Here is a 22,758-nt window from a genome sequence, read left to right as displayed (position 1 = left end):
TTTCCCCATTGCTTGTTTTTCTCAGGTTTGTCAAAGATCAGATAGTTGTAGATATGCGGTGTTATTTCTGAGGGCTCTGTTCTGTTCCATTGATCTATATCTCTGTTTTGGTACCAGTACCATGCTGTTTTGGTTACTGTAGCCTTGTAGTATAGTTTGAAGTCAGGTAGTGTGATGCCTCCAGCTTTGTTCTTTTGGCTCAGGATTGACTTGGTGATGCGGGCTCTTTTTTGGTTCCATATGAACTTTAAAGTAGTTTTTTCCAATTCTGTGAAGAAAGTCATTGGTAGCTTGATGGGGATGGCACTGAATCTGTAAATTACCTTGGGCAATACGGCCATTTTCACGATATTGATTCTTCCTACCCATGAGCATGGAATGTTCTTCCATTTGTTTGTATCCTCTTTTATTTCCTTGAGCAGTGGTTTGTAGTTCTCCTTGAAGAGGTCCTTCACATCCCTTGTAAGTTGGATTCCTAGGTATTTTATTCTCTTTGAAGCAATTGTGAATGGGAGTTCACTCATGATTTGGCTCTCTGTTTGTCTGTTGTTGGTGTATAAGAATGCTTGTGATTTTTGTACATTGATTTTGTATCCTGAGACTTTGCTGAAGTTGCTTATCAGCTTAAGGAGATTTTGGGCTGAGACAATGGGGTTTTCTAGATATACAATCATGTCGTCTGCAAACAGGGACAATTTGACTTCCTCTTTTCCTAATTGAATACCCTTTATTTCTTTCTCCTGCCTGATTGCCCTGGCCAGAACTTCCAACACTATGTTGAATAGGAGTGGTGAGAGAGGGCATCCCTGTCTTGTGCCATTTTTCAAAGGGAATGCTTTCAGTTTTTGCCCATTCAGTATGATATTGGCTGTGGGTTTGTCATAGATAGCTCTTATTATTTTGAGATACGTCCCATGAATACCTAATTTATTGAGAGTTTTTAGCATGAAGTGTTGTTGAATTTTGTCAAAGGCCTTTTCTGCATCTATTGAGATAATCATGTGTTTTTTGTCTTTGGTTCCGTTTATATGCTGGATTACATTTATTGATTTGCATATATTGAACCAGCCTTGCATCCCAGGGATGAAGCCCACTTGATCATGGTGGATAAGCTTTTTGATGTGCTGCTGGATTCTGTTTGCCAGTATTTTATTGAGGATTTTTGCATCAATGTTCATCAAGGATATTGGTCTAAAATTCTCTTTTTTGGTTGTGTCTCTGCCCGGCTTTGGTATCAGGATGATGCTGGCCTCATAAAATGAGTTAGGGAGGATTCCCTCTTTTTCTATTGATTGGAATAGTTTCAGAAGGAATGGTACCAGTTCCTCCTTGTTAGAATTTTTTTAAAATAGCAAAATAGATTAGAACAATGCCTTTCAAAGGATCAATTATAGAGGATTTACTTTTTTTTTTTTTTTTGAGACAGAGTCTCACTCTGTTGCCCAGGCTGGAATGTAGTGGCATGATCTCTTCTCACTGCAACCTCCGCATCCTGGGTTCAAGTGATTCTCCCACCTCAGCCTCCCAAGTAGCTGGGATTACAGGTGTGTGCCACCACGTCTGGCTAATTTTTGTATTTTTAGTAGAGACAGGGTTTTGCCATGTTGGCCCGGCTGGTTGCGAAGGGATCTGCTTTTTTTTTCAGTTCCAATCTGTCATGAATGGATACTTTTGCAAAATGCAATAAAACAATAAAAATGAATTACTAGGAAAAGGATCATGCTCATAGATATCATACTAATGTCAACTTACTGTAAGTGTCTAAAATGCTCTGTTTTTGTTTTTGTTTTGGTTTTGTTTTTGTTTTTTGAGATGGAGTCTTGCTCTGTCCCCCAGGCTGGAGGGCGGTGGCGCAATCTCGGCTCACTGCAAGCTCTGCCTCCCAGGTTCACTCCATTCTCCTGCCTCAGCCACCTGAGTAGCTGGGACTACAGGCACCCGCCACCAGGCCTGGCTAATTTTTTTGTATTTTTTTAGAAGAGACAGGGTTTCACCATGTTAGCCAGGATGGTCTCGATCTCCTGACCTCATGATCCACCCGCCTTGGCCTCCCAAAGTGCTGGGATTACAGGCGTGAGCCACCGCGCCTGGCCAAATACTCTGTTTTTAACAGCTTTATTGAGATATAATTCACATATAATTCACCCATTTAAAGTGTACAATTCAATGGTGTTTAGTACATTCACAGATCACCACAATCTATCTTAGAACACTTCGATCAATCCTAACAGAAACCTTCTACCCATTAGCAGGTAATACCCATTTCCCTCAGACTCCCATTACCCCAGCCCTAGGCAACCACTAAACTACTTTCTACCTCCATAAATGTGTCTATTCTGGACATTTCAGAAAAATGGAATCATACACCATGTGGTCTTTGGTGACTGGCTTCTTTCTTTAGCATAATGTTTCAAGGTTCATCAGTATGTGTCAGTATTTCATTTCTTTTTATTGCCAAATAATATTCTATTTTGTGGATATACCATATTTTGTTTATCCATCCATCAGTTGATGGACATTTGGGTTGTTTCCACTTTGGGGCTATTATAAATAACGCTGCTATGAGCATTCATGTACAAGCTGTTGGGTATACACCCAGGAATGGAATTGCTGGGTCATACGGAAACTCTATGTTTATCTTGTTGAAGAACTGCCAGACTGTTTTCCACAGCAGCTGCACCACTTCACATTCCCACCAGCAATGCATGAGGTTTCCAATTTCTCCACATCCTCACCAACACTTAAGATTATCTATCTTTTTTATCATAGCCACCCTAATGGGTGTGATGTGGTACTCCATTGTAGTGTTGATTTGCATTTCCCTAATGGCTAATGATGTCGACACTTTTTAATGTGCAAAACACTTTAATTTCTCTGACTTTCTGCACTCATCTCCTCCCTGGCTGGTGATAAGCAAGCAGTTCAGGGACCAAACTTCGAGTAGCACTGGCCTGGAAAATATGAGTGCATCACTTGGAGTGAGGTTAAGTGTTGTTTCTATGGAATTTTTGCTTCACCTAGATACATATGTTTATATATTCAGGACTGCGACATAAAATGTATTTGTATTGCTTACTGTTTGCAAACCCCTAGCCTGAAGATTTCCTGCCATTCATCCTCACCCAAAGTAGAACAGGTCATCCTTGAAGAGGGACATTGTCCTTCTAAACATGCCTATGGCAGAAACCAGTCTATGGCAAAGTGCCACTATCTCAGCCCTGGGAGAATCTGACTGGCAGCTCCAAAATATGAAGTTAATTTAAAAAGCGCTTAAGTCCCAAACCATTTTAATCAATAAAATAGTCTCCTTGTTTTGAACTCGGTAAAACATTTAAAATTTTTTCTTAATATTTTCATTGTGTAACCACCCAAAGTTGCTTTGCCTGCTGCCTAGACAGAGCCGATTCATCAAGACAGGTGAATTGCAATAGAGAAAGAGTAATTCACGCAGAGCCAGCTATGTGGGAGACCAGAGTTTTATTATTACTCAAATCAGTCTCCCTGAGCATTTGGGGAGCAGAGTTTTTAAAGATAACTAAGCCAGTGAGCCAGGAGTGCTGATTGGTCAGAGATGAAATCATAGGGAGTCGGACCTGTCTTCTTGCACTGAGTCAGTTCCTGGGTGGGAGTCACAAGATCAGATGAGCCAGTTTATTGATCTTAGTGGTGCCAGCTGATCCATTAAGTGCAGGGTCTGCAAAATATCTCAAGCTCTGATCTTGGAAGCTATTTAGGGAGGCTCAGAATCTTGTAGCCTCCAGCTGCATGACTCCTAAACCATAATTTCTAATCTTGCAGCTAATGTTAGTCCTACAAAGGCAATCTAGTTCCCATGCAAGAAGGAGGCCTGCTTTGGGAAAGGGCTGTTACCATCTTTGTTTAAACTATAAACTAAGTTTTTTCCCAAAGTTAGTTCAGTCTATGCCCAGCCTACAAGGACAGCTTGGAGGTTAGAAACAAGATGGAGTCAGTATACTTAGATCTCTTTCACTGTCTCAGTCATAATATTGCAAAGGCAGTTTCAATCCTTCCCTTTGGGTTTTATAATGCCCTCGTCTTACGATGTAGGCTATGAAGATGGGAAAAGGTTGTAAATCGCTCTGGCTTCTTCCTGCCAACAGAGGACGTAGTGGAAATGGGAGTGCATCCCAAGGTGAGAAGAGTTGAACTGCTTTGTAACTGTCTGAGTGACTCATGCAGGCCTGGCTGGGCTTTCATGGCAAAAACATTAGTACTCTCAACTATAGTTTTACTACAGTGTTTAAGTGAAACAGCCTATTATAAGGTAAATAATGAGTCCTAGGCTGAGGAGTACAATTCCCAATTTTAAAAACAAAGATTTGAAAGCATTAGTTTGAGGACTTCTAGCCCACAAAGAATTTGGAATTTAGTCTAAACTACAGAAAAAAACCTCAAGAATAGCTAACAACAGTGTACTATAGTTTTTCTTTTGAAGCATAAATTTTCTCTCTCCAGTCTTCATTTTTTTAAAAACAAATCATGATAGAACTGATTCGTTTACAAAATAAACTTTAGTCTTACTGTAATTGGCCTAATTATTTGTAAAAAGTACAGCAAGAATAATTATTTTTCATGTAGACTTTTTTAATTGGCTTTGATAGAACTCTGTTCCATGAAGAATCTCAGATAAGACTTTTTAAAAGCCAAGCCCAGCTGTGGGTTTGTACCGACAAATACCTATGAGTTGGGCAAATTCCTCTCCTCTTGAGGTCCCAAGACAACTTGGGGTTCCTGGGCCTGTTAGAAAGTGAAATTCCTTACTTACCACAGGTCAGGAACCTTGTACGGGGACACTGTGCAGACAAGGTATGAGGTCAGATTCCCCAACAGGCTTTAATTGGCTCTATAAGTCAACTTTGATTCTTTAAAGGAAGCATGCCATTCCATTCAAAACCTTGGTAAAATAATCAGTTTCTCCAACTGTGTTCTGTTACAGAAGAAAATAGCTTCTTATTGCACTTACACAATTAACTATACTGCCATAAATTGAGAATATTCACAAATAATTTCCAAATTCTGGAGAAATCAGGTAGAGAGGAACAAATATGCTCCAAATTTTGTTCTCAGGAGTATATCTTATTCATTTGTTAAAAGTTGCAAATACCTCTAAAGAAATAAGTTCCCTTGACTCTGGAAACAAAATGTTTAGCAATGTTTAACACATTAGCTCTCCATGACAGTCCTAGAAGTTTGGTTTTTTTCTCTATTCCAATAGCACAAATTTTAAAGCCCTATTAAAGCTACAATTGACTAGGAATTTTGATTACTTCTATGGCATACAATTTTACATAACAATATTATTATCAATGTACACTAAATTATATCAACATTGTAGAAGTTTCCCATAATTTTGGAATACATACTAATAATATATTTATACAAATACAGTCCAAAGTGAACCAAACACCCTTCACTCTTCTATTTGAAAGTTTTTCCTCTATTCAAATGTCACAATCTCCAGAGTTATTTATCAGAATCCTGCATTTAAGAGCACCTGTTACATTTTAAAACTGATTATAAAACCATCTTTTAAAGAGGACCAAAACGAGACAGCAATTATCTGTGGATGACAAAAACATTTTAGGGCAGCCACAGTTAAAGACACAATTGACAAGGAAATTTACCTTTGTAGCACACAGTCTGTTAACATAATAATTATAATTATTACAGATAACATAGACTAAGTCATATTAGAATTATAGGAGTTTTACATTACTTCAGAACATATACCAATAACACATTTACACAAATAGAGACCAAAGAAAGCCAAACACCATTTCATATTTGACAATGTCAGGCCTCTGAGCCCAAGCTAAGCCATCATATGCCCTGTGACCTGCACGTATACATCCAGATGGCCTGAAGCAACTGAAGATCCACAAAAGAAGTGAAAATAGCCTTAACTGATGACATTCCACCATTGTGATTTGTTTCTGCCCCACCCTAAGTGATCAACGTACTTTGTAATTTCCCCCACCTTAGGAAGGTTCTTTGTAATTCTCCCCACCCTTGAGAACTTACTTTGTGAGATCCACCCCCTGCCCGAAAAACATTGCTCCTAACTCCACCGCCTATCCCAAAACCTATAAGAACTAACGATAATCCCACCACCCTTCGCTGACTCTCTTTTCAGACTCAGACCGCCTGCGCCCAGGTGAAATAAACAGCCTTGTTGCTCACACAAAGCCTGTTTGGTGGTCTGTTCACATGGACGCATGAGACAGACAATGCTTCCTGTGTGATTTTTGTACCAAATAAGCCAAATGTCATTTTTGGACTTTAAAGAACCTAATATCTAAAATATTAGGTTAGAAAGAGACAGAATTTATAATTTGATATTGGAAAGCTTGTCAAATATCAAAGGTTTAAAACACAGGATATCACAAAATAGATCCCAGATCACCGTAAATCATTCATTTGGCCGAATTGATAACTCCAAAACAATTTTTAAAAAAGAAAAACCTTCACTCTGATAGAGAAGACTTAGCTTTCCAAACAAGACCCAATGAAGATAGCATGAGGCCAACTCAATCTGTCTCTTATCTCTCTCCTCTTTTTTTTCCCTGCCATTTACCCAAAGGAGAAAACAAAACCCTTTCATTATCTTTTAACATTACATAAAAATCATCTTCAAAAGAGAAAACCAAATTTCTTGTTTGCATTAGTGCATCTTTTAACGTTAAAGCTAGTTTTTTAGATAAAATTTTATATCTCTATCCAGTTTTAATTAGTTTCACCATAAGGCAAGATTTTCATAAACTTTTTAGAACCCTTTACAATTTTCCATCAAACAGCAGATCAATTTTCTAAGAAAACCCTGTTATTCGTACACATGGGCCCAGATTCTGGCCCCACATCAGTATGATTTTAATGTTTTAACCTATGGGGAAAAGCTAAATAATTTCTTTTAAATCTTAGCCAACTTGTTTATACCCACAGAAGTTTTACAAGATCAACCCTTTTCAAACCCTTTTCACTTTGCTTAAACCTTCAGTTTTGTTCCATTACTCTTTTAGGTTAAGACAATCTTTAAAACCCTCTGAACTAGACAAAATTACATTCCCTTTAACAAAAGCCATATTCCCATGCCTTCTTATAATCTTTTACCTAAAACACATTCCCTACACACCTTGTATGTAAAACTGTTTCTCCAGCGGTCTCGACTACATGTTGCAATGTTAACTCTTAGCACCTTTTATTTTTAGTGAAAAACCTGACAAGTAAGCGATTTTAATTATGTACTAGGGGTGGAGCCTAGGACATCAGACAGAAATGAAGATAAGGTCTGACTCCTTTTAGCATAGCTAGCGGACATGGCTCTCCCCATGTCCGCAGGAATTATCTATAATCTAATGCTCCAAAGTAGGTAAATCGAACAATTTTCAAAAGTCAAAGAAACAGTTTGAACTTAAAATATTTAGCAAGTCTGATACCTGATCTTAATTTAGACCAAATGTCTACATTTTCAAGACATTTTATTTTACCAATAATCTTTAAAACTGTCTTTATTTCCAAAAGATTACTAAAATGACGAGAAAAAAAGGCATTAAAATTTCTATTTTTCTGACAAAATATTTGATTTAAGCGCTTATTTTTCTAAGCCAATTAATCAGAGCTCTTTTATATCTAAACATACAACACATATAAATATACAGAGAGAAGATTAGGCACTTGTAAGGTTTTTCATTTGCCAGTTTCTTAATTGGATTACTGGCTTCGGGGTGGAGCCCTTGGAGGAACAGGGCCTGGAAAGCATGCATTTCTAAGGCCAAATAAGCAGCAAATAAGCAGCTGAAGGCAGAGACACATCCCCAAAATTAAGGGTGCCATTTTATACTGATCCTGGATCCCAAAAGGAGGGAAATACTACTGGAGAGGACAGTGCAGTGCTTCTACCCTGCATTTCATTGCAAAGCAACCCAAAGCCAATCAGCCCATTTTGCAATCAGCCCATCCCTCATGAGAGTCTCATCTCCCAGTGGGGGGTGGGGATGTCTCCTTATCTTCCAGGTGGCCAAGAGCATGCTTCTCTGATCCAAGTGTGCAAAGAGTCAAGTACCCCTCCCTAACTACTATTAGCCATCCCTTAGAGTATATTTCCTACCTAGTTATTACACACCAAAGCTCTCTCATAATGCAAAGTAATTTCTGATGCCCCCCAAACTCAAAACCGTCAGACAACACAATGCAAAACAGAACAAGCCTTTGATTTTGAGAGGGATCTATCCGCTATTAATTCCTGGGGTTTCATGATGAAAACAGAGTGTTTTGGGTTTTTTTCCCCAAAGCGGGGTCTGCAGCACCTCCTCTGTTTTTCCCAAGGAGTCCCAAGCTACCAGAAGTTATCTTAGGGGCTCTGATGTGTGTATTAAGAGTGGCAAGACAAAAAAATGGAGAAAAATAGTTCAGTCGACTTAGAAGGAAAAACCTTTTTCCAGAAAAACAAGTTCCAAGAAGAGAAAAACAATGGCCTTTTAAATACATCTATAGCTTGTTTATCCACTTTTAATTAACCTAACTTTTAACCATAGTGCTCTTTAAAAAAGAAATCTTTTCAAATCTCTTATTACCTGACTTTAGCCATGCCAAGTGGCCAATACTTCTAGCTTCTGAACTTTACCAAATGTAACCTCCTAGGTGCTTCAAAGACATGGTAAGCAGTTTCTTTTTTTTATAAGATTTAGAATCTCCACAAGGTAGTTCAGAGAAAGGAAAATTCAAGAGAGGAAATCAGAAGCTATCTACGATGGGAAAAAACCTCAATAAATGGCAACGTTACACAAATAACAAACCAGAAATGAATCATTTCAGCAGCCAACAATTGAACCCAGGCCACCAGTGTCAAAAGATAAAGCCTTAGCTACCGAGCTATACAGCATTGAGAAGTTCCTATTGCTTTTCCCAGAAGGAGCCTAGAGAAGCCAATTTCAAGCTTGCAAGGCTTTTAATTGCTCAAGAAAAATTTTTAGGCTGGGCACAGTGGCTCACGCCTGTCTGTAATCCTAGCACTTTGGGAGGCTGAGGCGGGTGGATCACTTGAGGTCAGGAGTTCGATACCGGCCTGGCCAACATGGTGAAACACTGTCTCTACTAAAAATACAAAAATTGTAATCCCAGCTGCTGGGGAGGCTGAGGAAGGAATACCCCCGGGAGGCAGAGGTTGCATTCAGCTGAGATTGCACCACTGCACTCCAGCCCTCGTAATGGGAGCAAGACTCCATCTCAAAAAAAAAAAAAAAAAAAAATTAGGATTATGACATGAACCCCAAAATTCCTGTCGTCTGGGTGGTAGAAACCAAAAGAAAGTATCTCCCATGGTCATAAGGTTAAACTCTTAAGGACACAAAACAAAACAGAGAAATTTCATACCGTATTGGTTTCAGGGACCCATAGCAAAGTTTATAACTGACCAGCCTGCCAAGCTGACTTTAAAAGCAGGCTTAGGGGTCCTAAACCCATGTTCTATCCTGTGATACCCCTCTCTCCATTACAGAACACAGAAAGACAAATTCTTAGCACAAAGCACACCAGATTTTTACAGCTTAAGACTAGTCTCACAAATCCTTTTTTCTGTTAATCAAACCCTTGCAGAGGAGACAAATAGTTTACCGTTTATTCAGACAGAGAAAGCAAGACAGATCAGAAACTTGGCCGGTAAGAATTTTTTACCCTTTTTGCTGTCATACCTGGTTTCTGGGTTCCATTTCCCTGCAGCTTCCAGAAGAATGGAGTGGCTTCTGATGACCCTGCTTGCTTGTGCTATAGCTTTGGGGTTCAAGCCATTTTACAAGAGAAAATCACCCTGTAAGACAAGATTCTTTATTTGCAAGATGCTGCCTGACGGGCTGCATGGGAAACCAAATTAACATTTTCCATCCCAGCAAAATACACATAACAAAACAGACATTAGTCACCTTATTCAGCAGCCAATATCAGCCTGGCAAAGCTCAAACTTTTTCCCCGTTGGCCTCTGTTGTCTTTGATCCACTCCAGGTGGGGACGGACTACCTCCAAATGGTAATTCACAACGGGGTATCTGAGCAATGGGAAGAGCAGATATTCACCCCCTGAGACAGGCCTGTTGAGCCTTCTTTAGAGCTCATCGAATGTGACCAGACAAATAAGGAGGGTTCTCTGAGTTAGGCCTGCTGGACTTCCATCAGCAACCTCTCTGAGATTCCTTCCAAATATACGAACACATGCAAAGACAGAAGGCCTTCTAAATCAGATCCCTAACCAAGAACTCCAAGAGTATCCCTCCCAAACTATTCTCCTAGTCTCCTTCTGAGAAAACTCCTCGAAATCTTCCTGATTGAAGACAAGTCTCCCAAACCAGGACTCTTCCTATTAGACCTTCGGAGCTGTGTGACTAGTTAGAAAGAGCCAACTGAGACCCCCACAGGAGCTGAACAGACACCCTGCAATGGTGCTACAGACACACCACCATAGGGCTACATAACCAGTCAGGAGAAGGAAGAAGCCATTGGCAGTGCCTAGGATACTTACCAATCCAGACAGCCCACAATGGGGCTACAGACATCCCACCATGGGGCTACAGACAGACGCCCTGTGATAGGGCTACAATTAAGTGGTGTCTCCCTAGGACTCTTTCTCCACTGCAATTAAATCCATGCACATCGGGTCGGCAGTGCCCTGCCAGTAGAGAAATACCAGAGTCAGCCCCCAGTCCAAGAGAACCAGGCTGCCGCTTGGGCTGACTTCTGGATTCATCGCTGGGGGAGGAGGCCACTGAACCATGGGCAAGTAGCCACAAGGGCAATCCCAGACGAGCCCCCAAATTTGTAACCGCCCAAGGGGTTCACCTTGCCCGCTGCCTAGACAGAGCTGATTCATTGAGACAGGGGAATTGCAACAGTGAAAGAGTAATTCATGCAGAGCTGCTGTGCTGCAGACGGGAGTTTTATTATTACTCAAATCAGTCTCCCTGAGCATTCAGGGAGCAGAGTTTTTAAGGATAACTTGGTGGGTGAGGGGAAGCCAGTGAGCCAGGAGTGCTGATTGGTCAGAGATGAAATTACAGGCCAGGTGCAGTGGCCCACACCTATAATCCCAGCACTTTGGGAGGCTGAGGCAGGTGGATCACGAGGTCAGGAGTTCAAGACCAGCCTGGCCAACATAGTGAAACCCCATCTTTATTAAAAATAATAAAACTTAGCCGGGCGTGGTGGCAGCCACCTGTAATCCCAGCTACTCGGGAGGCTGAGGCAGGAGAATCGCTTGAATATGGAGGTGGAGGTTGCAGTGAGCCAAGATCGCACCACTGCACTCCAGCCTGGCCAACAGTGTGAGACCCTGTCTCAAAAAAAAAAAAAAGAAAGAAAGAAAGAAATAATAGGGAGTCGGACCTGTCTTCTTGCACTGAGTCAGTTCCTGGGTGGGGGCTACAAGATCAGATGAACCAGTTTACTGATCTGGGTGGTGCCAGCTGATTCATCAAGCGCAGGGTCTACAAAATATCTCAAGCAATGATCTTAGGAGCAGTTTAGGGAGGATCGGAATCTTGAAGTCTCCAGCTGCATGACTCCTAAACCATAATTTCTAATCTTGCAGGTAATGTTAGTCCTACAAAGGCAATCTAGTCCCCAGGCAAGAAGGAGGCCTGCTTTGGGAAAGGGCTGTTACCATCTTTATTTAAACTATAAACTAAGTTTCCCCCCAAATTAGTTCAGCGTACACCCAGCCTACAAGGGCAGCTTTGAGGCTAGAAGCAAGATGGAGTCAGTAAGGTTAGATCTCTTTCACTGTCTCAGTCATAATTTTGCAAAGGCGGTTTCAATTGCATTTAAATGCTCTGTTGATTTGATAAAAGTTTTTAAAACCTGACATTATTTCATGAATATGTGATTGCTTTACAGAGTTACTTTGCTCTGAGGTATACACCAAGGCAGGTTATGCCTGGGTCTACCCTCAGTGGAGGCGTATGTATATACCACACTTGAATATGTGCCCATACTTTTATGCATATGTGTACACACATGCAAATGTCTTTGCTTTAAAAGACAATGCTGCTCACCCTTGTTCACTACAGCATTACTTACAATAGCCAAGAGGGGGAACCAACCCAAATGTCCATCGAAGGAGGAACGGATAAAGAAAAGGTGGTATACACATGCGATGGAATATTATTCCATCTTTAAAAAGAAAGAAATCCTGTCATACGCTACAACATGGGGGACATTAAGCTAAGTAAAATAAACCAGTGTCAAAAAGACAAATACTGTATGATGCCACCTAGATGAAGCATCTAAAGTAATTAAACTCAGTCTGGACACGGTGGCTCATGCCTGTAATCCCAGCACTTTGGGAGGCCAAAGCGGGTTGATTGCTTGAGCCCAGGAGTTTGAGACCAGCCTGGCCAACACGGTGAAATGCCGTCTCTACAAAAAAAAATTACAAAAAATTATCCAGGTGTGGTGGTGCACGCCTGTAGTCCTGGCTACTAGGGAGGCTGAGGTGGGAGGATCACCTATGCCCAGGAAGTTGAGGCTGCAGTGAGCCATGATCGCACCACTGCACTCCAGCCTGGGCAACGAGTGAGACCCTGTATCCAAATAATAATAATAATGAAAGTAGTCAAACTCATAGAAACAGAAGATAGAATGGTGGTTGCCAGAAGCTAAAGGGAGGAAGAATTGGGAAATTGTTATTCAAGGGGTATGGAGTCTCAGTTTTGCAAGACGAAAAAGTTCTAGACAGTTCCAGAGTAGACAGATTTAACAACCTGTACTTAAAAATTGTTGAGTAAATTTTATGCTATGTGTGTTTTTTTTCACCATAATTTAAAATAAAATTGAATTTTTAAAAAGTTGATGCTACTTGGAAGCCACACCATTTAATAGTCAGAAATTGGGTACTGGGCCAGGCATGGTGGCTCACGCCTGTAATCCCAGCACTTTGGGAGGCTGAGGTGGGCAGATCACCCGAAGTCAGGAGTTCGAGACCAGCCTGGTTAACGTGGTGAAACCCTATCTCTATTAAAAATACAAAAATTAGTCGGGGGTGGTGGTGGTCGCCTGTAATCCCAGCTACTCGGGATTCTAAGGCACGAGAATTGCTTGAATGCAGGAGGCAGAGGTTGCAGTGAGCCAAGATTGTGCCACTGCACTCCAGCCTGGCCAACAGAGCAAGACTCTGTCTCGAAAAATAAATAAAAGAAATTGGGTACTGGATCTGACAGAACTGAATATAAATCCCTAATCCACTTCTTCGGAGCTATATAACCTGAGCAAGCAATAACTCCCTTTGAAGGGTGAGTGCCTTTAGCTGTAAAGCAGCTAAGTTCTTAGTGCCATCAGGAAGGTCGTCCGGGAGAAAAGTGCCTGGCAGGAATTCAGGGAAATCCAAAAAGCTGTGTCTTCCAGCTGCAGTATGCAACCCACAGCCCCTTTGCATTGCACTCCCATCTGTGTACCTGTCTTCTGTCTGTCTTCTGGTCTATGGAGCCAGTTTGCAGAGCTGTGGCACTACTGCCTGGCCATGGTCCCTGTGCAATCACAGCGAGCCCCTCTCTGAGGAAACAGCCTCCTTGCCATCTAAAGCTAAGTTGTAACATCTGAAGACAACTTTCTTCTCCTTGAGAAATTCTCTGAAGCTCCATGGCCTCGAGCCTTAGGGTTCCTCTTGAGGGTTTTGTACCAGCTCAGCTTGGCTTCCAGCCTCATAGGGGGCAGCTGGAGACAAGTTGTGGGATTTCAGGTTGTTTCTGGAGAACCAGCGGGGACTTTCTGTGCCCAAAAAAACTTCCCAGCCAGTCAACTCATCCCTTGGCTTGACACTTAGCTCTCTCATAAAATACACACATTCCTGAGATCATACTAATACGCTTACAATTAAATAACTTTACAGTTTCCTAAGAACTTTCACATGCAGAATACCTGCCCAACCTGATCACAGACTGAGGTAGGGATATGATCTCTGCTTTTACAGATAAAAATTTAAATGAGCACCTACCATGCTGGGCACTGTTCTAGGCTTTTTCTCAAGTAATCTTCTCCCATTTAGTTAGTAAGTGGCCCAGGGAGGCCTCAGAGCCTGGTCTTTGGGGCTCTTTCCAGAACTCCTCAGCTGCCTTCTGAATCATTTTCACCTCAGGCCCCTTCCAGAGAGGAGGTTTTTCTCAGGGAAAGCGTGTAGCAGGAGGCTTCCTAAAAGAGACAGGCCTGCCAATCAGGAGCGTGTGCAGTTGGGGTGGCAACGAGGGAGCCACAGGAAGGGGGAGCCCAGGACTGCAATGATCTCAACTCTGGGCCAGCCTTCCCTGCCCGAGTTCCCTGGGCTCTCTCAGTGTCTCTCTTCAACCCCTCCCCACACCCGCCCCATCCCCTGCCCCTCCACAATGTAGTGGACAGGATCGCTGGCTTGGGAGTCAGACAGATCTGGGTCCAGGTGTCTGCTAAGCTCAGCTTCCCTATCAATGCAATGGGGTAATAAGAGTGCCTAACCCTTAAGTGGCTCCGAGGATTCAGAGAAATGGTGTCCATGAAGTGCTCAGCACCATTACTAGCACAAGGTAAGAACTCAGTAGATGCTGCTCTAGTGGCTTAGGCCCCTCCCTCCATGGCCAACTCCATCCTTTCCGTCCTTACCTCCAGTCCCACCACCCATCTCTCTCCGTTCCCTCTTTTCTTACCTAATCCTGCTCCAGCCAAATCTCCACTCTTGAAAAAGCCACAGAAAGTTGCCTAAAAAACAGAGACAGCTGGGACAGTAGAAGAGAGAAGCGGCAACCGAGTCCCTACCATGTCCTGTTCCTCATGGAGGGCAGCCTGACCCCTCAGGCCCAGCCTCAGGGACCAAATCCAAATGCCCTTTTTCCTGTTTACTGTATCAACAGCCCTGGCATTTAACTTGGCCCAAGTGAGAAGAGCTGTGGTTCGGCTCAGTCCTGAGGAGCAGCAAAGGTCCTGGGCTGGGAAAGCCACTGGTCCATGTCCCCATATGCTGTCTCATCCTGCAGACAGGCTCAGGGCAGAGAAGACTTGGAGCCGGCAGGCGGGCAGGCCTTGCTAGGCTCAGACCACCGAAAGAGCATTCTGTACAAGCTCAGTCTGATGGGCACCCTCCTGCGAGTGACATCCCAGAGGCTGTCATCAGTCTTTAGAAGTCCTACCTCTCTCCCTAGCCCCCTACCCCAGAGTCCCACCACCTTGGAATTCTCTCATCCTGTGCAGGAGTGTCCCACCATGGCTGCCTTGCTGTCATTCTTGAGGCACTCACATTCTACCCACGTTAGGCCTTTTCACCAAGTCTATACAGATGAACTATAAGGATTGAAAGACCATGGGTTTTGGATTCAAGCCTGAGCCACACTATGTATGTACTAAGCGTTCCTTACCCACTTGGGACCTCAGTCTCTTCACATCTAAAGTGAGTATAACAGGCTGGCACAGTGGCTCATGCCTATAATCCCAGCACTTTGGGAAGCCAAGGAGGGTGACTCACTCGAGGTCAGGAGTTCAAGACCAGCCTGGCCAGTGTGATGAAACCCTGTCTTTATTAAAAACACAAAAATTAGCCAGGTATGGCTGCATGTGCCTGTAATCCCAGCTACTCAGGAGGCTGAGGTGGGAGGATCACTTGAGCCTGGGAGTGGGATGTTGCAGTGAGCCGAGATCATGCCACTGCATGCCAGCCTGGGTGACAGAGTGAGACCCTGTCTCAAAAAAAAAAAAAAATTAAAATTAAAGTGATTGTAACAACATTTTCTTCGTAAGGTTACAGTGGGGATTAAATAAGATGACCTATGAAAGTACCTACCCACTGTGTACATATAAAGGGTGCTTGATAAATATTGCTTACTCTCGCTTCTTCGGGAGGGAGGGTCCTAGGCTGCAGCTTAGTCAACCAGCCAATTAGTGCCCTGTTCCTTTCAGAGTGCTATTTGGTGCCCTAGAAATGATTAACGGGATAAGAAATATTGCTTCTGCTCTGGAAAAATTTCAAAATGATGAAGAAAACTGTAATTCACGTGCTCCATAGCAAACCAAGATGGCGCCATCCGCATCTTCTTCGGGTTTCACGTGTTGGGCAGCCACCACGGCTGTGCCTGGGGCCCGGCCAGCACAGCTGCAGTGAGTTTCCTTCTGATAAGAAGTGGAAGCTGCAGTACTCATTTGGGGAACTCTGTCCTTTTATTCAGGAAAAACTCCCCAAATGGGCCTTTTAGTTACAGAAATGTAAACCAAAAGTCCTGTCCTGAAATGGAGCTGTGATTTTTAGAAGATTTCTGCTGTATCTGTTAAAGACAGAGTTGCTCCCTGTAAAACAGGCTGCTGTGGACAAAATGTGCTCCTGCAAGGGGAGGGACAAGCCTCATGATGGGGTATTGCCATGTTTCTTTCCATTTGACCCCTAGCCCAAGCCTGGGACCCCTGTTGTTAGTGATATAAGGGCCAGACACTGATGACTACTTTGTGAGAGGCTTCATGGGACTCTGGCCACAATCATAGCTGCTGAGGGACACAGGTGGTAAAGTGAGGTAGTAAGTGAAATGCCAGTACCTCTGAAAGCAGTTATGGCTGCCTCTTTTTCTCCTAGTAGATTCTGTGAGAAGTCATTGCTGGCACACAGGAAAGCTATTGATAGCAGAGTAGCTAAGAAAGCAGACACAGGAGGTGAACTGCCTGGGTCTTGGGCAAGCCACCGAACTTCCCTGTGCCTTGGTTTCCTTGTTTACAAAATGAGGACAATAGTAGTGGAAGGGAACTCAGTGATGCATGTAGAGTGCTTAGGACAGACCCTGGCATGGGTTGTGTTTTGCATAAATGTTGGTTGTTACTTTTAAGCTACCTAAAAAACTCTAGTTATATTTGCCTTCCAGTGAATTCTCTTGGGTTTTCTAGGTATGCAATTATACCATCTGCCAGTTCTTTCCCCCGTAATCCTACTATTTCTATTTCCTGCATTTTCTCATTGGGTATATTGCAGGCCTTTTCTGGGTTCCTTGGAATGGGGAAACCATGTTGTATTTTCAAGCTGCTTTGGAAAGGATGGATGTGAGATGAGAGTGGCCCAAAGCAGAGTGATGGGGAGGAAGCTGTTGTGTGATTTAGGTGTGATGTGAAGACTTGGCTGTGGATAACACCCTAAAGACAGGAAAGAGGAGTTCTATATAAGAGGCACCTTAGAATAGAGTTGACTGGACTTGTCATGATACTGATCATAAAAATAGAATCTAACACCAACCATCAAAATAATTCCATTACAATGTATTCATCTGAAAAGGAAGGAAAGAAGGGGACATTTTCATAATCTCAGTTTATGGTTAGTTTTGAAACACCAGATTCAGGAGAAGTTTGCAAATACTTTCATTATCTCCACAGTGTGACACAATTTGACTATTTCTTAAATACTTTACAATTGGTTCATGTTTGCAAAAATGACTCTAGTTTACAAAGCCACCTGATATATTTGGCCTTATTTAGTTCTCACAAAATCCTCTTGGCAGATATATTCATAATTGAAGTATTGGACGTGAAACACTGTGACATGGCAGTTAAAAGCGTGGTTCTGGAGACAGACTGCCTGGATTTCAAAGCTGGCTCTGACACTTACTAACTGTGTGACTTTTGTCAAATCCCATAACCTCTCTCTGCCTGTTTCTGCATCTGTAAAATTGAGGCAGGCCGGGCACGGTGGTTTATACCTGTAATCCCAGCACTTTGGGAGGCCGAGGTGGGTGGATCACCTGAGGTCAGGAGTTCAAGACCAACCTGGCCAATGTGGTGAAACCCCGTCTCTACTAAAAATACAAAAATCAGCTGGGTGTGGTGGCAGGCGCCTGTAATCCCACTACTTGGGAGGTTGAGGCAGGAGAATTGCTTGAACCCAAGAGGCGGAGATTGCAGTGAGCCAAGATCACACCATTGTCCTCCAGCCTAGGCAACAGGAGCGAAACTCTGTCTCAAAAAAAAAAAAATTGAGGTAATAATAGGCTCCCCATCATGGGGTTGTTTAGCAGTATGTTAAGTAACTGTAAGGGTTAGCTGTTATGAATATCTGGGAACTTTATGGCTTGCAAAGCCCTTACCTGACCTTCTTGGATGCTCCTATGCCCTTGCAATTCACGCTACAGTTACACCAGGGGCTGTCCTGTTACCTGTGTACCTGATGAACCTGTCTCAACCTTGAAACTCTGTTTCAGTCAACACAGTGATGCTCCCCTGGGTGCATGAGGTGGAAGGGAAAGGCACAGACCTGGCTGAGTTGCCCTGCCGAGTCCTGGAGGCACAACACGAGCTTAGTTCCCTAGGCCCTAGGGGTCTGTGGCAGCCCCTCTGAGTAGAGTGGCCATATAGTTTATGGTGCTATTAAATAATTAGAACAAGAGGCAAAAGCCAGACCTGCAACGGGTAACCAGGATGTGTGGTCACCTGACCTATAGCAGACCTGTTTATCCTCATCCTCACACCAAAGTCTGGTCTCCTGCAGTGTATAAGCCTAACCTTCCCTCCCTGCCCTGCCTACAACAGGCGGCTCTTCTTCTGCACGCAAGCACACACAAACAGGTCCCCATGACTGATTCTGCTTCGGGGCCTGTTTTCCTTGGTCACCCCTGCTAAGACATGCATAGAAGAAGGAAAACAATGAGGAAAGAGAAGGCAGAGTCCTGTAAGCACACGCTGGGGGAGGCAGTGGTTCTGAGGAGCAATTTGCAGGGGTGCTTGTGAGGAGGAGTAAGGTGTGGTGGGGAAGAGACGTTACGGTGTGCGTGCGTGTAGGGCAAATGCAGAACCAGGCTAAGCCCTTGGCAGGGCTGGGAGCAACTGTTTGGCTGCAGTGGAAAATCCCAAATGAGAGGCAAGAATTCCATTCAACAAATATTTGTGGCACCTACTCAGTGCAAATAAGAGGGCCAGGCTGAGTCACTGAGCACAGCCCCGTCCTGGCACCACGGTGTTGTGGACAGAGGGACCTCCAAGACCACTGGAGCGGATGAGAGGCTTGGAGAGGGTGCAGGAGCCGGGCCGGGTGCTGAGGACCTCCAGGCCCCGAGCGAAGCCTCAGCCCTGTGGAGACCAGAGTTCAGCAGCCAGCTGGGGCTCCACCCTCTGGCCAAGAACTGCTGAGTCACAGACCACTGGGGACACTGCCCAGGCTGAGCCAGGGTGACCCTGGGGGTCAGAGGGAGTTGGAGTTGCTGCCATGATATGGGGTGGGCAGGCCGGAATGGAGGCGTCCACAGGCCCGTGGAGCTAAAAAGCCCTTCCTTCCTCCGCTTCTGCGCTTGCCTTCTCAGGCAGCCCCAAAGTTGAAGATGCTGAGAACAGGGGGTGTGAGGCAGTGGGGGTGAAGGCAGCAGACTTCCTTGCCGAGATCAGGGACCTCCGTCCACCTCACTCTTCTAGTTTTCACTCAATCCCTTTCTCTGTCCAGCCTCACTCACCTGCTGCCCGAGTGTTCTGTTTTGCCTCAGGGTCCCTGTCCCACTGTGGGTCCACTGCCCCTACCCTCTCGTGCCTCACTGTCCAGCCTCAGGGCTCAATTCAGCCTGTGGACCCCTTGTCTCCAAGCTCACTGCAGCAGGCCCCAAGGCCTTGGGCAGCAGCAGCAGGTCCCAAACAAAATGACCCCATAGAGCCTAGCGAAAAGGTCAGAAAACATCACCCCCTGATGACTGGATGAGAGCAGACTTCTGTGGCCATTCCCCAGGAAATGGTACCCCAAAAAGGTCAAAACAGAAGTAGCTGCTGCTAAAGTGCTACCCTAGTGATGCCTCAAGTTTGCAGAGCTGTTTACAGCTTGCAAAGCAGTGTCACATCTGCTTATAGAAACCTCAGTCACAGTGAATCCCCACTGCACAGATAGGAAATCAAGGCTTAGGGGTATTAAGTGACCAGCTCAAGCTCAGCAGCTGCTAGGCGGTATAACCTGGACTCGAATGCAGGCTTTCATGATTCCAGGCCCCACACTCTTTATGCTAGAGCAAGATCTGCTCTCCTTCTTCACCCAAGAGTGGACTGGCAAACCCTCTAGAGGCTGTGCTGGCCTCCCCATCTAAGCAGCCATGCTGATGATTTGTCACAGCTCCCACCACATTCTGCATGTCCTTTCTCCCTTGCACCTCCTTCAGTTTCCCCGGCCCTGGGATGCTGCCTGACCTTTGTCTGCAATGTCCTTTCCCATTCTCCTCTCACAGCCAGTCACTACTCCTTCTTCAAGAAGTGCCACCTCCCCTGTGAAGCCTTCCCTGTCATGACCCAGCAGAGCCAACCCCTCTCTCTGTGCCCCTACATCTCTCTGTCCTCGGACCTCTGCATGCAATGGCATTGACCCGATAAATGGCAATTAACCATTTGTGTATCAGTGTCCCAGCCCTGGACCCCCAGAGCACTCTCCTGTTTCTCCTGAGTGGTTGTTAAATGAATAAACAAATACAAGTCCAAAGAGTCCTCTCTCGGGTCACTAAGGAGCTTGCATCAGGAGGGCACCCTGTTATCTTGAGAAAATGGAGAAGCGGAGGCCAGGAGCATGACCTCACAGGCCCTTGAGCCACCCAAGGGTCACACATCCTCCTTATTTTTGGCCATTCTCCGTGAGGACATTACTCAGCAAGCCCTCAGCTCCACCCACTCCTCATTGCCTTACCCAAGGAAGGGACAGCTCATGGAGTCATCTTTCCTGCCTGGCTCGGTCCTTTTTTTCCACTGTTCATGGAACCTCCCTAGAAGCACCTGCTCCCTTAGCCCTGGCCCTATCCCCTTGCCCTAGAGAGGCTGCCCTGGGTTCTCCCTCAGACCTCCCACCACCCTCTGATTGGACCGGGGGAGTCGCCAAGTCTGAACCAGTGACTCACCCTCCGATCTTTGAGGCCCTGCATTTGGTGAAGACAGTGGTGCCAGAAGTCTCCTGACCTCCCTCTCTTGAGCCAAGGGCTGACATCCGTGGCCTTCTGCACAGCCACTCCGCCCACCCCCACATGGACCCTCAGCACACAGCTCCAGGAAGCCCTGAGAGAAGGCTACCCCATCTTGGAGTCTGGACCTTCTGAGTGTCGGAGCTGTGGTCTGAGAAGCCTTAACAGCCCCTACCTGCCCAATCATGGTTCCCACCCTGGGCCCTCGGGATGCTTCGCATTCTACCATTGTTCATTCTTTTGATGACGCCCAAGGCTTTAGGGAAAGGCCAGCTAATCTGGGTTGGTTATTTACATCCCTCCGAGGAGCCAGCTGGCAGAGATGGGATCTGCTAGGGAGGGGAGGCCTGGAGAAGAGCACTGGCTTCTGGGCAGGGCATCAGGACCAACAGTGACCCTGGATTCTCAGGCTGGGAGAGCTGGAAGCCAACGATATGATCACCTCAGGGAGGAAGGAAACAAGTTCAACTGCCTCCCAGTCCTGCCTTGGGTCACCCCAGGTGCCAGGGCCCAGAGGAGGAGGGCTGAGGAGGAGGCAGGGCATAAAGGGGTTAACCTGGGCTGCCCAGCCTCAGTGTAGAGAAGAGGCTCCCAAACCGTCTCTGGCTGTAAGTAGTCAGAAACTAATTTGCCCTTCTGAGTGTAAGTAGAGGTAGGAACTAAGGCCAGCCTGGGCTTCTCAACCCACAGCCTCCCCAGGGTATCCCCCTCCTGCTCCCTCACACCCCCGCCCTTCTCTGAATCCTTGCCCCAATCCCAGGAAGCCGGCATTACTGGCATGGGGCACAGGCCACTGACTCATCAGCACGAACAGCAACCTCCTCAACCACACTCACACCAGCCACATGTGCTTCTCTCTGCGCCTGCTCAATTCTCCAGCCAAACAGGTCCTTCTCCAGCTGAGAGGAAGATGACCAAGCTGGCCTCGGCAACAGTTGCACCACTGGTCCCAGTTGCTCTGGGTGCTCATCACAGAGTTCCGCCACAGCGTGTGTGGGTGCTTGCTCCACTGGCACCTCCTAACTGCTCTCCCCACACCTCTCTTGCAGTCAGAGTGGGCTTTTTCAAAAGCAAGTAAGGCCACATTACTGTCCTGCTCAGAGTCCTTCGATGGCTCCCTGCTGCCCTGGCATGAAGGACTTGCCCTGCAAGCTGGTACTGAGATGGTCAGGATGTGACCCTTCCCTCCCACAAACCTACCCTCTCACTTTTCCCCAGCTCCAACCACCCAGGCTACAGTCATCCCTCGGAATCTCTTGGATATTGGTTCCGAACCCTGCTGCAGATACCAAAACCCACGGATGCTCAGGTTCCTGATATAAAATGGTGTGGTATTTGCATATAACTTATAAACATCCTCCCATAAACTTTAAAATATCTCTAGATTACTTATAATATCTAATACAATATAAATGCTATATAAATTGTTGTTATACTCTATTGTTTAGGGAATAATGACAAAAAACAAGTCCCTACATGTTCAGTACAGACACAATTTATCCAGGGTATATGCAGTTGGTTGAATCCACAGGTGTGGAACCCAGAGCCATGGGGGACCTCCTATCAAACAATTTCCCACTAAGGGTCTGCTCTGACACCCCGCCTTTGCCCGTACCATTCCCACAGCTGGGGATACCTTGCCCTTCATTCCTGGTCTGGCTCCTACATCCTTAGAGGATCTGCTCTCTAGGTTTTCCCTGACCTTCCAGCAAAGTAAGATGTTTCCTACCACCCCCTCAAAGGGCAGGGACCACCCTTAGCTTGGCAGGAGCCCTGCAGCCCAGCACAGTTACAGGCCACAGAATGCCCACAGAGCACCAGCCTACTATTGGTGGCCCTAGTATGAGTTGGCAGGGATAAGC

The 22,758-nt window shown here is 45.0% G+C and overlaps 1 long non-coding RNA gene across 1 annotated transcript in view, besides 1 other annotated feature; it reads right to left on the bottom strand.

Moving 5' to 3' along the window:
- Nucleotides 1-15,069, bottom strand: part of LINC01768 (long intergenic non-protein coding RNA 1768) — a 77,840-nt gene extending 62,771 nt beyond the window's left edge. Inside the window, exons 1-4 of the long non-coding RNA XR_001738180.3 lie at nucleotides 14,672-15,069; nucleotides 13,993-14,186; nucleotides 9,936-10,057; nucleotides 9,708-9,823 (exon numbers count right to left, since the gene is read on the bottom strand). This is a non-coding gene — a long non-coding RNA (long intergenic non-protein coding RNA 1768). The remainder of the gene's footprint in view (nucleotides 1-9,707; nucleotides 9,824-9,935; nucleotides 10,058-13,992; nucleotides 14,187-14,671) is intronic.
- Nucleotides 19,732-19,781: a silencer, noted in NCBI's record as "silent region_1160". NCBI's record gives its function as "represses an Ori minimal core promoter by ATAC-STARR-seq in GM12878 lymphoblastoid cells {active_cell/tissue: GM12878}" and the evidence as "EXISTENCE:reporter gene assay evidence [ECO:0000049][PMID:35858748]".

Source organism: Homo sapiens, chromosome 1 (assembly GCF_000001405.40).
Source record: "Homo sapiens chromosome 1, GRCh38.p14 Primary Assembly".
NCBI classification, from domain to species: domain Eukaryota; kingdom Metazoa; phylum Chordata; class Mammalia; order Primates; family Hominidae; genus Homo; species Homo sapiens.
The sequence above is the reverse complement of the archived record's forward strand: the minus strand, read 5'-3'. Positions and strand labels throughout refer to the sequence as shown.